At 40.4% G+C, this 16563-nt stretch overlaps 1 protein-coding gene across 12 annotated transcripts in view; it reads right to left on the bottom strand.

Moving 5' to 3' along the window:
- SLC16A4 (solute carrier family 16 member 4) overlaps window positions 1-16563 on the bottom strand; it is a 28170-nt gene that overhangs the window by 8406 nt on the left and 3201 nt on the right. For 2 of the 12 annotated variants that reach the window (NM_004696.3, XM_005271317.6), the window contains 6 exons: window positions 11572-11704; window positions 10390-10533; window positions 9720-9881; window positions 7591-8094; window positions 5688-5899; window positions 4196-4289 (listed from right to left, as the gene is read on the bottom strand). In NM_004696.3, the coding sequence (NP_004687.1) occupies window positions 4196-4289; window positions 5688-5899; window positions 7591-8094; window positions 9720-9881; window positions 10390-10533; window positions 11572-11704 (1249 nt within the window). The remainder of the gene's footprint in view (window positions 1-4195; window positions 4290-5687; window positions 5900-7590; window positions 8095-9719; window positions 9882-10389; window positions 10534-11571; window positions 11705-16563) is intronic. The other 10 variants (NM_001201547.2, XM_047433967.1, NM_001201549.2 and 7 more) reach the window with 6 other exon arrangements.

Here is a 16563-nt window from a genome sequence, read left to right on the forward strand (position 1 = left end):
CTGTATGCATTTGTCAGTTGGGAAAGAGGGGAATATGGAGAAGTGGGGAACTGCATTCAGTTTTTATTTTATAGGCAACTAATATGGTCCTTTGGTTTTATTTTAAAATGAAACTGAGCCTTGAGCATTTTGAGCTTTCATGTCAAATGCCTTGAATGGAAGAGTAGGAATTTCATGTAAGTAGCTTACATCTGCCCTGTATGTTGGAGAATGTGATTAGATATACTTGCTTTTCTGCCCAAGGCACTATTTTTGTATTTATATTGCTTTTTGCAGGTTTACTTCTGTTAACAGGGGTCTGTGAGAAATAAGGCTTAAAATATCAATACTTCTCATTTTTCCACAGCCTTCCAAGGCTTCCATCTTTGTGCCAGTGTGTGGCTCTGGGTGCCATCTAACCGCAAAAGCAGCAGTTGGGTTTGGATGAGCTGTGTGACATTTGGCCTACACGTAGGTCTACTCACCACCCTGGTCAGGGAACCTGGAACAATCCTAAAACTCACCTACTCTAATGCAGGCCATATTTTTTAATTAAAATTGAAATTGTCACTGAGTATTGGAATAAGAAGGGACTTTGGGGTGGAGTGGGTGAGCAGGGCATTGTCTTACAGAGGAGGTGTGGGGACCGGTAAGTTTTAACTTTCATCCTTTCAATCTCTCAGTTTCAGCAAAGATCTTATAAAGAATTTTGTTGCTTTCTTAAATTCATGAAAGAAATGTAAGCAATTGAGGTGTGTAATTTTCTTGCCCGTATTCTCTATATTAAAAAAAAATAAGAATATGGTTCTATGAATTTCTTGTGCTATTTTTGCTTTCCTTGAATTATTAAAATATGTTGCATAGAACTAATATTGTTTTCTTTTTTATTTTTATACAGGAAGGAGAGAAATATTGTTCATGTAATGTGTTACCTTTTTTTGTCTGTGTGATCTACAAGAGCATGGCTGAAATGTTACCATTTTTAACTAGTGTTTTGACTGAAGATTATTATGAAAAGTTTTACTTTTGTTAGATTCCTAATTAAAAATGCCTATACTCTTTTATAGGAGTTTCAACTTTTGCAATTTGGTAATAACAGATTTAGGTAAGTAAAAAATGAGAATCTCATACAGTTCTGAAGATCTAAGTTTGGTTGAGAATTTAATGTTTCATCACCAGTAAATTCAATTAAAGACTTTTGATTCAATTAAAGACTCAGTTCTGCCTACACCTGCAAGAACTGAGTTGATCTGTACATCAACATTTCTGATGTTTCTTTGGTAGTTGCTGCTGGAGTCAGAAGTTAGGAACAAATCTAATGGCCTTTGTAATGTCCTCTGTCATTTCACGGAGGAATGACTTAGAGGAACAAAGCTTTCCTGTGATTTCTTTCTTCAACAGATGGCTAATGGCACAGCATTGCAGTTAGAATCTTGTTTAAGATACTAGGAGCACGTCCTGGACTAAAAATTTCTACATAAGCTTTAGCAACAACCTTATAGCTTCCTTTGACTTTTTTGTAGAGCTTACAGAATGTATGGCTGCCTAAGTAATAGTCTCTGAATTAATGGGTAAAAAATATATTATGAGTTTTTTATCCTCACGTATGGTGCTAGGCTATACTGGATTTGGGCTAACAAAAGCTTGTTAACTTTTTTTTGTCTCATTGACAGAAGTATTTTATATCTCATATTTTACATTACATAGGTGTGTGTGTGTGTATGAAATAAAAGTTTGAAAATAAAGTGATATACTCTTTTTTAATCTGCTCTGTGGTAGTCTATCTTTTTCCATAAAAACAATGAGATCATGACCCAACAAATTTATTTCAGAACTCACATATATACCTGTAGCTTTTTCTTTTCAGGTAATGGTCTTCAGAAATTTGACTTGTCTTCTCGGAGTATTGAACTATTTAAACATTTTATTTTAAGAAGTATACAAAGACACATAGGACATTAAACATGTTATAGTTTTGTTGCTTGTCTTTTTCATTTGAGTAAGATATTCTATGCCCTTGTATTTGTTACTTCCTTGTACTTTTGGCCCAATAGGCTTGAAAAATTCCAAGGCACTACTGGGACAGCCAATGAAGAAGGATCAAGATTGAAAAAAATGCATCAGCAAACTGTGTTTGAGCTCTGTTTTCTGTATTTCACTGTCCTGGGTACTAGCCATAGAGTAGTTGTGCAAGGTACTTCTGGTATTTGGCCTCCTTTTACTAGTCCCTATATAAAAATTCTGGGCTTTACTTTATAATTCTAGCCTGCTTTCCAGGTATGAAACGTAGGCTAAGTGTTAGATAGCATGGGAAGGGGTGTGTTCATAAATGCAAATAAGAGAGTTGGTTGCATATTTATGTAAATTTTTTCTTTAGAATAAGTATGCCTTAATTGAACCTCAGCTATTGGCATATTTTTTGTTCCCAGTAATAATTTTTTTTTTTTTTTTTTTTGAGATGGGGTCTCACTCTGTCACCCAGGCTAGAGTGCAGTGGCATGATCAAGGCTCACTGCACTCATTCCTGGGCTCAAGCAATCCTCCTGCCTCAGCCTGCCGTGTAGCTGGGACTACAGGTATGCACCATCACACCTGGCTGATTTTTAAAATTTTTTTGTAGAGATGGTGCCTCACTATCTTGTCCAGGCTGGTCTGGAACTCCTGGACTCACACAATCCTCCCACCTTGGCCTCCCTAAGTGCTGGGATTATAGGCGTGAGCTACTATGCCAGGCCCTCTCAGTAACAATTCTTGTTATCCTTAGTTTATAGTCTCCTTCTTTTAATATTTACTTTTTCTGAGTCTTTTTTTGAGATGAAGTCTCGCTCTGTTGCCCAGGCTGGAGTGAAGTGGTGCAAAGTGAAGTCGGCTCACTGCAACCTCTGTCCCCCGGGTTCAAGCAATTCTCCTGCCTCAGCCTCCCAAGTTAGCTGGGATTATAGGCATCTGCCATTACACTCGGCTAATTTTTGTATTTTTAGTAGAGACCGGGTTTCACCATGGTGGCCAGGCTGGTCTCGAACTCCTGACCTCAGGTGATCCACCCACTTGGACCTCCCAAAGTGCTGGGATTACAGGCATGAGCCACTGCGCCTGGCCCCTTTCTCAGTCTTAAGAGGTATAAACTTAACATCATTATGAAACTTAATTTTTTAAAAAATGATAGTAGGACAAGATTAACTCCCTTCTGTCTTACTTCAGGACTAAAAGAAGCAAAAGTAAGTTTTAGGCTAAGTTCCTTTATGTGGATGATTAGAAATGTCATAGTAATTTGTACACTGAAATACATTGAGAACCTGTGGTGTGTGAGAAACTAAAGTTTAGGTCTGTTCCCTAGAAATACTTCTGTGTGAGTATTCAAGTTTGTAATAGTATTAGATTAAATATTCAGCAAGTACAGAATGTCTAATTAGGTAAAAAGTGAATGTAAAACTACAATTTGAATCTTAAAGTTAACTTACATATCAGAACTCCCCAAATGTTTACTGTACTTGTATATAATAATTTCCAACAGCCCCCAATATCCTCTCCATAGAGATGGGGCCTTTAGGCCAAGTATCCTCCCATCCTTGGTACTGACAATTTGAAGGGCCTCTTTTCAAAGAGAGATACTTAACAGATAACAGGCAATCTTGGACATCCATATGGCACATCAGAAGAACAAAAGTGTCAGGCCTATACCTTTCAAGCTCTATAAAAGTGACTCATGTTTAGATACAAGATGCTAGTCGTTCATTGTTTTTTTTGTTTTGTTTTGTTTTGTTTTTTATTTTATAGAGACAAGGTCTGTCTGTTGCCCAGGCTGGTCTTGAACCCCTCAGCTCAAGTGATACCCCCGCCTTGGCCTCCCAGAGTGCTAGAATTACAGGCGTGAGCAATTGCTCCCAGCCTTTTTTTTTTTTTTTTAAAGCATCATGGGTCTTTGAGGCTCTGAAAAAACTCTGGATTGTCTCCCCAGACAAGTAGACATAGATCCAGTGTCTGCCCTACAACTCCCAAGAATATAAGAATCTGCTTAAGGCACATCTTAAGATAATACAAGAATCTGAGCCTTCAGATTTTCCTGCATTGGTGGTGGAGTGAGTAGATATAGGAAAAGCAGAAATAATCTGTTTCTTTTAACCTGATACCATCATTACATGTTACCATTAATCCTGGATCAGTTTTTCTCTTTTATTGCTATTGAAATTTGTTCAGAATGTGGTGAAGGTGTTACCTGCTATAGGTGGTCCAGAAAGGACAGCCATCCCAGCAAAGAAACTGGCAAGTCCCAAAAACCTGTTTACTGTAGAATTCCTACACAGATCAACCTGTAGGAATTAGAATTCAGTGTTAGCCATATTAAGGGTGAAATTCTATAGAGACCTATGCCTAAAAGGGACAAATACTATTTATATCATCTCAAGCTATGAACAGTGACTTCTGGGGTGAGTTGGTTGGCTTTTTGCCCCCAATATTGTGAAAGAGCTGAGGACTAATAGCGAACAGTAAATGCTAGGCAGGCAGTGTTTTCAGTTTATTAGTAAGAACACAAGTTTTTATTTTCATTTTAATTTTTTAGGTGGTTCATGGGTACTTTTTCTTCCCCAAACCTTGCTGCTTTTCTCTTATTAGGAAATGATATTTACAATATGAATTAATAGTGATATTCTTTTTGAGACAGGGTTTCACTCTGTCACCCAGAGTGGAGTGCAGTGGTGTGATCTTGGCTCACTGCAACCTCCACCTCCCAGGCTCAAGCGATCCTCCCAGTTACTTCCAAGTAGCTGGGACCACAGGTGCGTGCCACCACACCTGGCTAATTTTTTTATTTTTTGTAGAGACGGAGTTTCACCATGTTGCCCAGGCTGGTCTCCAACTCCTGAGCTCAAGCGATCCACCTGCCTCTGCCTCCCAAAGTGCTGGGATTACAGGTGTGAGCCACCACGCCCGGCCAGACGGTGATATTCTTGAATCCTCTAAGGCTAAGTATCAACCATTGGTTTGTAAGTAATCAGATATCACAAGGAGTTAATTTCAGCTTTAGGAAGCTTGATTTTTGCCTGCACTTCATATAATATCCTGTAGCACTTACGCTAATATTGATAGAACAGAAGTTTTCTAGGAAATCTGTTCCAGCATGTTTAGGTCCTGGTTCTAAGGAGAACCCATGAGACTCCCAGGGGTTCCCAGAACACTGAAGTGTTTGTATAAGTATTTTGGTTCCATCTGGGTCGAGGACTTTGCGTCAGTTTAGGGTAAAAATGGAGAGGAAGTATAAAACAATGGCCCTGTGAAAGTACACAGGACCAAGGCAATAACTTCAAGAGAGAAACCACACTGGTCGGGAAATCCTTTTTTCTCTTGAAGTGTTCTCAGGGATCTTTTCTTTAAGATTGTGTCTTAAAAGGAGCCAAACAAGTTTCTGGAGCTGAAGGAGAGACGTGAACACAATCCTAATCTAGGAGACTGATAAGTAAAAAGGAATCCTGCTGATCCCTTTTTTGCTTTAATTTTATTCCTGTCCCATGTGGATAGTCCTCTCACCATCCCTCCCCACTCACACACAAGATGAGTAACTGGACAGGATATAGCTGCAGAGTTTCTAAGGTCTTTGAAATGATTTTTTAAGTTACAAAATTAATACAAAATACGTATTTTGGGGAGATTGTTACTGATACTTGCTTTTACTAAATGGTTTAACAATGTTAATGAGTGTGTCTACTCACCAGTACAGGCAGTATCAATGCCAGGTAACCACCAGCAAAGATGGCAAAGCAGATGGTGTAGGTCATAAGTAGTGGAAATGTGGTGGCTAAAGGAGCAAGCAGGTTAGTGATGCCGCAGAGGATGAGGTAAGACTTGTGGTAATGATACTTCTTAATCCAGTTTTGATCAGCAACCCATCCAGAAATAATCTGACTGACCGTCTCAAGGATACCTGGAACAATATTGAAATCTTTTTATTTTCCTGGTCCCTTTGAAAAATGTGAATGCATACAGCATCATTTCCCAAGTAATATGATCTCATCCTGAGGCCAGGATATGTGAGGAAAAAAATGATTTGATTTGTGTACCAGTAAGCTCTATTATATACTTACCTATTCCAAATACATTTAATAAAATAGCAAAAAAGTCTCCGCTAGAGTAGTGTAGAAGACCCATGTAGTTAGTGTTTTTTTCTGATTGTGTTTGGAAAGCTTACGTCACTACAGTGGTAATCCCTGGTTACAGAGGACCCTGGGCACAGAAGGCCATGCAGTCTCTTCGTCTAAGAGGTCCTGCAAGTGAGAAAATGAAGTTTCTAAAAGACAAATAGACCTTCAGGTCAGTGTCTTGGGGAAGTCATATTGTAGAAGATTGGAGTATAAATAAGTCTTCTGTTAAAAAAGGAGATGTTGGGACTCATAATTGCATACGAAGTTTTAGGAAGTAAGTCCTCCAAAGTTTATGCTTAATTTGAAAATATGTAGGAAGTTTGGAAATGGGAGATTGTATTTTGGACCACTGCACCTGGCCAAATCCCTCTTCTAGATCAAGCATTCTGTCTTTAAACAGTTTTATGAGTAGTCAACTAAAATAGTTGTTTTTATTTATTTATTTATTTTTATTTTATTATTATTTTTTGAAACGGAGTCACGCTCCGTCACCCAGGCTGGAGTGCAGTGGTGCATTCTCGGCTCACTGCAAGCTCCGCCTCCCGGGTTCATGCCATTCTCCTGCCTCAGCCTCCTGAATAGCTGCTACTACAGGCGCCCGCAACCACGCCTGGCTAATTTTTTGTATTTTTAGTAGAGATGGGGTTTCACCACGTTAGCTAGGATGGTCTTGATCTCCTGGCCTCATGATCCACCTGCCTCGGCCTCCCAAAGTGCTGGGATTACAGGCGTGAGCCACCACGCCCGGCCAGTTGTTTTTACTTTTAATTTACATTTTAACTTATTTTAAATATCAGACAGTCCATAAGTGACTAGCCTTAAAAGTCATATTTATCTGTTTTACTATGAGTTCAAGGGGAAAATTCCTTAGCTACAAATAATAAAACATTATTGAATGCTTACTACAGGCCAGGCACTATTCTAAACTCTACATGCATTGCTTTTTTGATCCTGACAATCTTATGAGGGTAGATACTATTATCCCTATATTACAGATGAGGAAATGAAGGCACCATGAAGCAAAGTAACTTGCTGAAGTTCCCACAGTTAAGAAATACAGAGCAGGAGGTTGAGCCAGGGAAGTCTTGCTCCAGAACCAATCCTTGAGCCACTGCACTGTGCTGTCTACCTGGGGTTTTCTGCTCCTTATAGTGGCTATTGCCATTGAGCATCAGCTTTTTGAAATTTCCGCATTTATCCAATAAATAATGTCTACTGTGTCAAACACTGTTATATGAAGATGAATAAGACTTGATTTAGGGTCCACTGTCTAGTAGGGGAGCCTGTGTGCAGTGACAGAGATCTCTTCCTGGGAAATGCCCAGGTGCTCCATCTAGCCTCAAAAATTTTACTTTCTCTGGCCCTTCTACAATTCCTCTTTTGTTTTTCTTTAGCTTTTTATTAAAATGTAATAAGCTTGTAAAATTAAGTTGATCTTTCCTTTTGGGTAGGAGGCTGATGTAGGCTTTCTTACCTGCTACAGAAACAAGGTAAGAGGCATCCATGATGTCAATCCCCAGTGTTTTGGCTCTGGCTACCAGGTGAAAGGTAGGGATGAAGTATGCTAACTGACTGAGGAGAAAAGACCAAGTAAATATGTAGAAGAAAGGATTTCTAAAGAGAGAAATGTCAAACAGTTGTTTGCAGCTCCACGAAATAACCTTATCACTTTCTTCATCACTCTTTAATAACAGTCTGTTCCTGTTAGGCCCATTGTAGAACTCTTCACTTTGATTTTGTGAGACTGTTAAATTTTTGCTAGGTAGTCCAGCCTTCTGCGTAGTACTGTCCTTGATGGTAGACTCTTCTGTCTCATGGCAGTGTGTTTCTGTTGCATGTGCCTCTGGACCATGTGCAGACAAACTGCTGCCTTTATCTTTAATACCAGAATTGTTCTCACTTTTGATATGGATGGGTCTTAAGAGCATACTAGAAGGCACCAAATTCAATGCGATAGCTCCAAATAATATAAGGGCTCCTAAATAGGGAGAGATTGAGCAATTAAAAATAGCCTTTCAGTTCACAATACTGCTTTGTGTTCATAGGCTCAGAAGAGGCCCCACTGGCATAGCCCATTAATTCTTGAAAACATTACTTTGTCTCCGATTTGACTTATTAGTCATATACACTGCTGTATCCGTGTAATAATGTAGTGCTTTGGAGATAGAAAACCAGAAAGCTGCACCAATAGATGGGATAAAAGGAGAGATGGTGGTTATTTGTGTTAAGGGGGGTAGGGGGGGCAAGTTTTTGGAGGGAGAGGAGAGTGTTTCAAATGCTAAAAAATTAAATAGAAAATTTAAATATCCTGAAGTGAGAGTACAGATTTAGGTACAGAAAAAATAGAATAAGATGAAAGAAATCATTTGGAAACAGCCTTAGAAGAGGGGACAGCTGGCCAGGTGCTATGGCTCATACCTGTAGTCCTAGCATTTTGGGAGGCTGAGGCAGGCAGATCACTTGAGCCCAGGAGTTCAGGACCAGCCTGGGCAACATGGTGAAAACCTGTCTCTACAAAAAATACAAAAAAATTAATTGATGTGGTGGTGTGCACCTGTAGTCCCAGTTACTTGGGAGGCTGAGGTGGGAGGATCGCTTAGCCTGGGAGGTGGAGGTTGCAGTGAGCCGGTATCATGCCACAGCACTCCAGCCTGAATGACAAAGCGAGAGAGCCTGTCTCAAAAAAAAAAAAAAAGCAGCGGGAGGGAGGAAGGCATGGATAGCCTTTCATCCCATGACATTTTTTAGATCTTCCTTAAAAGATGACAGATGCTAATCTTGCCTTTGGAGCTGAATAGTTGCTTGCATTCAGCGTGTCCTGATCAAAGCTATGATTTGTATGGTGCTTCTAAAGATAGAATGGGCTATAGGTTCTGCTATCCTATCATGGATTTGTCAGCTGGTCCCATTCACCATGAGACTACTGAATAGTTAGGAAAGATTCAACAAAACTGCCATGTAGATAGCAATAGGCATATGAATACACACATATACATGTATTTTTTCCAGTAGTTTAGGATTATTTTAATCCAAATGTCTTAGTTACAAAGAAAATTGTGAGTTGAATCATTTTTTATTCATTTGTGAAAATTTATAGTTGACATTACATAAACTCTTAAGGAACATACTCTTTTTACCAAAGTATTTGTTTCTTTTTTATCTATTTCAGTGAGTCCGATGGGGGAGGAGTTTTTTTAAATGCAGATTTTTGTCTTAAAGGGAAAATGGGAAAAGTGAGGGTTTTTGATGGGGCGGGGGCGGGGGGGGAAGGGGGAAGCCTTATTTCCCCAGAAGTATCGCTTTTACTGCAAGCTGTTTCCAGCTGCACGGAATGCCCTCCATCTCCTCAGACATTGAGCCCTATGGTGAATTCTGAGTTGCTTGTGTGAGCTGGCAAAGCCTGCAAGTATTTCAAGATCTCTTTTGCGTATGTATTCTCCAGGGAAGAGAAGCATGTTTACTTTAGAAATTATGCTCATTTCCTCTCTTGCAATACCTTGTGAAATCGATTGCTCTGAAAGTCTTAACTTCCATTTCTCAAAGGGAGAAAGCTGAACGCTAAATCTTGCACAGTTGATAGTAAATAAACTTAGAATGACGTACCTGTCCAGTCATACAGATCTATCAGGAATTTTGTAAAGGGTGCCAAAAGAAAAGTCAGTCCCATCCCAGAACGGGCAATAGCTGTAGAAAGAGCCAATCGTTTTTTGAAGTATTTGGTAGTTACCACAGCAGCCACTTGGTATAAGAAAGCAGAACCCAAACCTAAAAGAAAAACGTAATAGTTTAGAATCACTCTTACATTAAGTGGCTTGGTAACAGAAAAGATAATCTCCTGGATCCGAGATAATACAGCTAGGCCTTTTGGACCCAGGAACAGTAGAAGGGAAGAGTCCTGTTCCATCTTCTATCTTCTATGGATGGATGCATATATACATACACACACACACACACATATTTTGAGACAGGGTCTCACTTTGTCACCCAGACTGGAGTGCAGTGGCACAATCTCGGCTCACAACAGCCTCAGCTTCCTGGGCTCAAGCAATCCTCCCACCTCAGCTTCCCAAATAGCTGGGACTACAGGCATGTGCCACCACTGGCCTGGCTAATTTTTGTATTTTTAGTAGAGACAGGGTTTCACCATGTTGCCCAGGCTGGTCTCGAACTGGACTCAAGCGATCCACCCACTTTGGCCTCCCAAAGTGCTAGGATTACAAGTGTGAGCCACCACTCCTGGCCTTCTATGGTCACATAATTACAATGGACTCACCGGGTAGAAGTCCCATAGTCACACAAAGAAAAGGAATACTTGTGGCCCAGCTGCTGATCAGATATCCACCAGTAACAACGAAAGCCCCAAGAATGGAGGTAGTTTTCTCTCCAAGTATGTCACAAATAATAGCAACCAGGGGACCTTAAGAGAAGAAAGAAAGGCAATTCTTAGGTAAATAATGATCTGGCATCCCTTATCCTCTGATGGCGATTTAAATGAATGACAAGGAAAGCAAGAGGACTGTTTACTTTGAAGTATTACGTATTCTTCAAAAAAGATTTTCATATCGGGTTTCTTAATATCACTAGTGCCACACTATTTTAGTTTTTGGAAGGGGAGTTTAAAAGGAAATGTTGATTGTAAGTAAGGTTTGGAGGGGAGGTGATTTGAAATGCATTATAGAACCTCCACAAAAAGATTGCATCTAGTGGTCAATGACTAGAATAAGGTTGAATCACTTATCTGCTCTTCCACCCTGTTACAGCTCCAAATAAAAGGAGAAGAAATTGGTTCTATAATTTGTTTTGAGGCTGGACGCCGTGGCTCTTTAATCCCATACTTTGGGAGGCCAAGGTGGGCAGATCACCTGAGGTCTGGAGTTTGAGACCAGCCTGGCCAACATGGTGAAACCCCATCTCTACTAAAAATACAAAAATTAGCCAGGCATGGTGGCGGGCGCCTGTAATCCCAGCTAGTTGGGAGGCTGAAGCAGGAGAGTTGCTTGAACCTGGGAGGCAGAGGTTGCAGTGAGCCGAGATAGCACCACTGCACTCCAACCTGGGCAACAGAGTGAGACTGTGTCTCAAAAAAAAAAAATAAATAAAATTGTTTTGAATATACTTAGATAACTAGAACTTCATGGCCTAACTTCCAGGTTGAGGGCCTTACTCATTGAACCTATATTAAGGCATTAACAGACTGGAAAGGCAATGCATGAAATACTGAATCATGGCATTTAATAATTCCTCAGCTTTCTTTGTTTGAATGCTGATTCTCCCAACTTTGTTACTAAGTCAAGTGGAAGCTAAATATTGCAATTCCTTACTTTCTCAGCGTTACATATCAGTAAATGAACCTTAATTTTAGAAACTGAATTCCTATTCAGTCTTGAATAGGAATCTTGGAATTGCCCTTTGTGGTTCTTCTCCTTAGACAGCAAGCTTATTGCCAGCTTTATACCTGCACAAAAACGAAGAGATGACATGATGGATCCAATCCAACCAATTTGCTCTGAGGTGCCTTCAAACTCTTCTTGAAAGACCACAAAGAAAATTGCAAAAGTCTTGGTCATCCCCATCACAAACACATTCACCTAAATCAAAGCAGACCAGAGTCCAACTCAGGTGGTAAGTGAGCCATTACAGAGGCAATTACGGCTACTAGAAGTTATGATTCCCTCAGCTTACTACTATTTACCAGTTTGCCTTATTGGTTGAGCCTCATTATACATCTTATATTTTATGGGGGAAGTCATTCCTTTTAAAGTAGCTAAGCATTTTAAATGGAAACATCTCATTTAATCCTCATTTCATGGCTTTGGAATAGGCATGCCAATGTTGTGTACCAAATAATTTATACCAAATAAACCACCCAGTGGGTTCATCTTGCCTGCTGCCTAGATACAGTTGATTTATCAAGACAGGAATTGCAATAGAGAAAGAGTTATTCCCACAGAGCCCATTGTGCAAGAGACTGGAGTTTATTAGACCAATCAGTTTCCCCGAGCTTTTGGGGATCAGAGTTTTTAAGGATAATTTGGTGGGTGGGAGGCCAGTGAGTTGGGAGTGCTGATTGGTTGGGTCAGAGATGAAATTCTATCAAAGCTGCCCTTTTGCGCTGAGTCACTTCTGGGTGGAAGGGTGGAGGGGGACCCACAACCAGATGAGCCAGTTTATTAATCTGGGTGGTGCCAGCTGATCCATCAAATGCAGGGCCTGCAAATTATCTCAAGCACTGATCTTAGGTTTCACAATAGTGATGTTATCCCCCGAGCAATTTGGGGAGGGTCAGTCTTGTGGCCTCCAGCTGTATGACTCCTAAACCATAATTTCTAATCTTATGGCTAATGTGTTAGTCCTACAAAGGCAATCTAGTCCCCAGGCAGGAAGGAAGTGTTTTTTTTTTTTTTTGGAAAGGGCTGTTAAAAGGAGGTTTTTTTTTTTTTTTTTTTTTTTTTTTGGAAACGGCTGTTAGTTTCTCTTTCAAAGTTAAGCTATCAACTAAGTTTCCCCCAAAGTTAGTTCAGCCTACGCATGGGAATGAACAAGGACAGCTTGGAAGTTAGAAGCAGGATGGATGGAGTTGGTTAGGTCAGATCTCTGTCACTGTAATAATTTTCTCAGTTATAACTGCAACAGCAGTTCCAAGATCAGGAAATTGAAGTTTAGAGAGGTAAAAAGTTGCTTAAAATAGGGGTACTGGAACTGAGATTTGAACCCAGATTAGACTGACTCTAGACCTGGCACTCTTTTACTGCCCTCAGTAGCATCTGTTAAAGACAGCTAATTCCAGTTACCTTTGTGGGAGAAAAGTGTTTGTCCAAAGAGGAATAATTATTCCTGTCAGTTCTTAGATTAGTTTTGATTTAACTCTGCTGCTGAGCTGAGTACCTTCCTTCACTAGATATATAAATAGGTTGACCATAAAATGTATCATCCAAATTGAGACACTCAAGAGTGAAAAGGGGTGCTTAATTTTGGATTAACTGGGATTTGTGGCCATCTTAAGGTTGGGCCAGGGGCCCCATCCTTTTCTTTCTGCCCCACCTAATCTTCCTTACCTGTACTCCACTAGAATTGCTGCTTTGGAGATGAGGTTTTCTTTCTGTGGAGTATTAACTTTTATTTCTCAGAATTCTAGTTAGCCGGGGGGCTGTTAAGTGCTATTCCTTCTTTCCGTTTTTAAGTAACAGTCATGCTTTATCCCACAGGGGTCTAGAGGGGAACCTAGCCAGGGTTTGCATTCACTCGTAAAGCCCAGGTGTACTCTCTGTCTCCAGGGGTTTCGTAGCGTTGGCTTTTCAAGGCCACTTCTGCTTTCAACCTGGCCATGCATTGCTTATGAACCACAAAACCAGCTGGGCATGGAGGCTCCTGCCTATAATCCTAGTACTTTGGGAGGCCGAGGTGGGTGGATCGCTTGAGCCCAGGAGTTCAAGACCAGCCTGGGCAACATGGCGAAACCCCGTCTCTACAAAAAGTACAAAAAATTAGCTGGGCGTAGTGGTATAACACCTGTAGTCCCAGCTACCTGGGAGGGTGAGGTGGGAGGAACACCTGAACCTGGGAGGTCGAGGGTACGGTGAGTTGTGATCACACTACTGCACTCCAGCCTGGGCGACAGTGAGACCTTGTCTCAAAATTAATAATAATAAAAGAACCACAAAGCCTTAGGTTCCCCTTCATTAATTCCACTTTCTCGGCCCGCCTGTTACAGTTCTGTACTCATCTCGCTTGATATCTGCTCCCTGGACAATCATTTACTCTCAAGGTTTTAATTACCACCTGCATACTTATGGTGGTGTAGCTGAACAGGGTTCTGCAATCAGTCTGCCTTAACTTGCATCCAGGCTGTTCTTCCTACTGGGGCGTGACCTTGGGCAAACAACTTCGCACGTCACATGGGTTAAGCTTCCGCTTTTATGATGGGGGAGGCGGCATTGGGGATGAAAATATTACCTAGCTCATAAGACTGTGAAGATTAATTGAGAAAATTCTGATAAAGTACTTAATATTTGGCACTTAACACTCAAACAATTAACTGTGGTTTCCATTCTGCTTTCCCAAGAGCTTCAGACTCCTAATTGTCTACCATATCTTTATAACTTCTGGTCAACTTGTCCAAACATAAACTCACATTTCCCTTATCCTATGCCTACTCTTTTCAGTTTTTTCTATTGGTACCATCCACCCATTCATTTGAGTGACAGATGTGCTTTCTCTTAGACACCTCCCTCCCTCAGCCCCTGCTTTTAAATAATGGTCAAGACCTGCCCCCTTCTTTTCACCCCATCACTACTGGCGATGCTCAGAAATTGCAAAAGTGGTAGTGGTGAGGAAGAAGTCTCTTAATATACTTTTTCCCATTCTGATTTGATAAAAGGAACAAAACTTATTTAGAATGAAGAGTGCTATAAACGCCAGGACTATATATTCAAAAGTTAAAAAGACATTTTATCAGGCCCCCATTGAGGCAATTTATAACCATAATTTTCCTCTAAGGCACTTCTGTCAGGCTAGAAATTAGGTTAGAAAATATACACAGATCTCAAATGACTTAGACTTTCTTCTCTCAGTTCATAATAATGTGATGATTGTGTCCTCTCATGAGCAAGGAATAATACAGTGCATCATTCTGTAAAGTAAACTTCCTTTTGTTCTATGGACGTGGGTTCTGTGCTGGTGTCTAGAGGATGTTGACCTCTATATTCTTAGCTACCTAAATTTAGCTAGCTACTGGTCCCCCAGTTCAGAGCTTTTCATCTCTGGTCTGTCCTTGGTGTCTGCGTGTAGCAGCAGTGAATGGTTAGGACTTGTCTCTAATAACTGAGTCCGTGTCCACTATGTATCAAGAAGACCAAGGGCAGAGCCTTTGCACCTACCATGCTTCCCGTCCCTTAACTTGAAGTCTTCCAACTTTGTTTCAGTTTTGACTCAAAGATATTAAAAATCTCTCCCAAGGTCTAGGTTTTTCCTTAGTTAATTTAGCAGACTACATAAATCTGCATTATTCTACATAATCCCATGTCTTAGACCAAGCTTGGTGGGTTTTAGTTCTGTTACCAGAGTCCACGTCATACATTGTAAATGGCTCACTCCAAAATAAAGCAAAAACCCTAGAACTTCTCCAGTCCCCTCATTTTCTTTTTGTTTTTAAGAGCAGTTAATTGGGTTGAACCTGGCAGGAACACCTTAAGCAGGACTTCCCCCACACCCCACCTCCAATAAGAGCTTCCTCACTAGATCATTTTAATTATTGTCTGGGAAAGGAGTTGGATCAGCCTCAGTGACTTATTTTCAATACAGGCACCAGGCTTTGTCAGAGTTAGTTTTATCTAATAACAACTTCTTATCCTGCGTCCTTTTCTAGTATCACCCTAGCTCCTCCTGACCTTCACAGGCAAACTTCTGTAAAAAATGGTCTATTAGGTATCTCCACTTTCTGTCATTCTGCTACTCCACTGAAAACTAAAGTTCACTAACTTTGGCCCCCACTGCTCCACTGTACTAGCTCTTATCAAGGTTATTAGATTTCTTTGTTGCTAAACCAATAGAGTCTTGTTATTTCTCTCCTATTTGACCTCTCAGTAGCATCTGCTCGTCACATTTCTCTGAAATGCAAATCTATCACATCCCTGCTTAATTTTTCTCATTAGCTTCTCATAGCCTCAAGAGCCATTCTCATCTCTTCAGTTTCATCAACTATCCCCTTCATCCTTATTTGTTTATTCATAAATGTGTGCAGCTATCAATTCATCCATCCATCTATCCATCCACCAACAGTATTTTACTGAGTGCCTACTATGTTCCAGGCTGTATACTGGCACTGGGCTTACGGTAATGAGCATATACTCATGAGCAATGCAGACATAGACCCTGCCCCCATGGAACATTCAGTCTAGTAAGACAGACTGAATACAGAAAACAGTCATACAAATATATAAAGTGTGGTAAGTTGGTTAGAATGAATCTCTCTCTCTTTTTTTAAGTAGGAAGCTCCCAAAGAACATTGTTATTTTTCACTTACTAGGAGCTCATCTGTTATAGAAAAGAACAGTTGTAAGTCATACAGAAACAAAAGCACAGTCATTCAAGTATCCACATTACAACTGTGGGGGATTAGCCCCTGAATTTATTGTTAACATTTTGAGGATCCAGTGCATTTTTTGTGCTTAGTAAGCAGTATCACACCCTAAAAGTGGGACAGTGTTTATTAATCTGGTTATTAGATGGTTTTTCCTATCAGCAACTAAATTGATCAAAAACCATTCTATCCTCAGAGGATAATGTAGAAAAAGTCAGGGTGGTTACTGGGGAGAAAGGCAGGAGAATTAGAGATCCTCACCAACAGTGCCTATTCTGCAAAGCCTATGATTTAGGGGGGTGGCCCAGCCCCAGGAAGGGCTCTCAGACTTAGGGCATCCTTTAGTTTCCCTATTAGTAACATTTCTAG

The sequence above is a fragment of the Homo sapiens genome, chromosome 1 (assembly GCF_000001405.40).
Source record: "Homo sapiens chromosome 1, GRCh38.p14 Primary Assembly".
NCBI classification, from domain to species: Eukaryota; Metazoa; Chordata; class Mammalia; order Primates; family Hominidae; genus Homo; species Homo sapiens.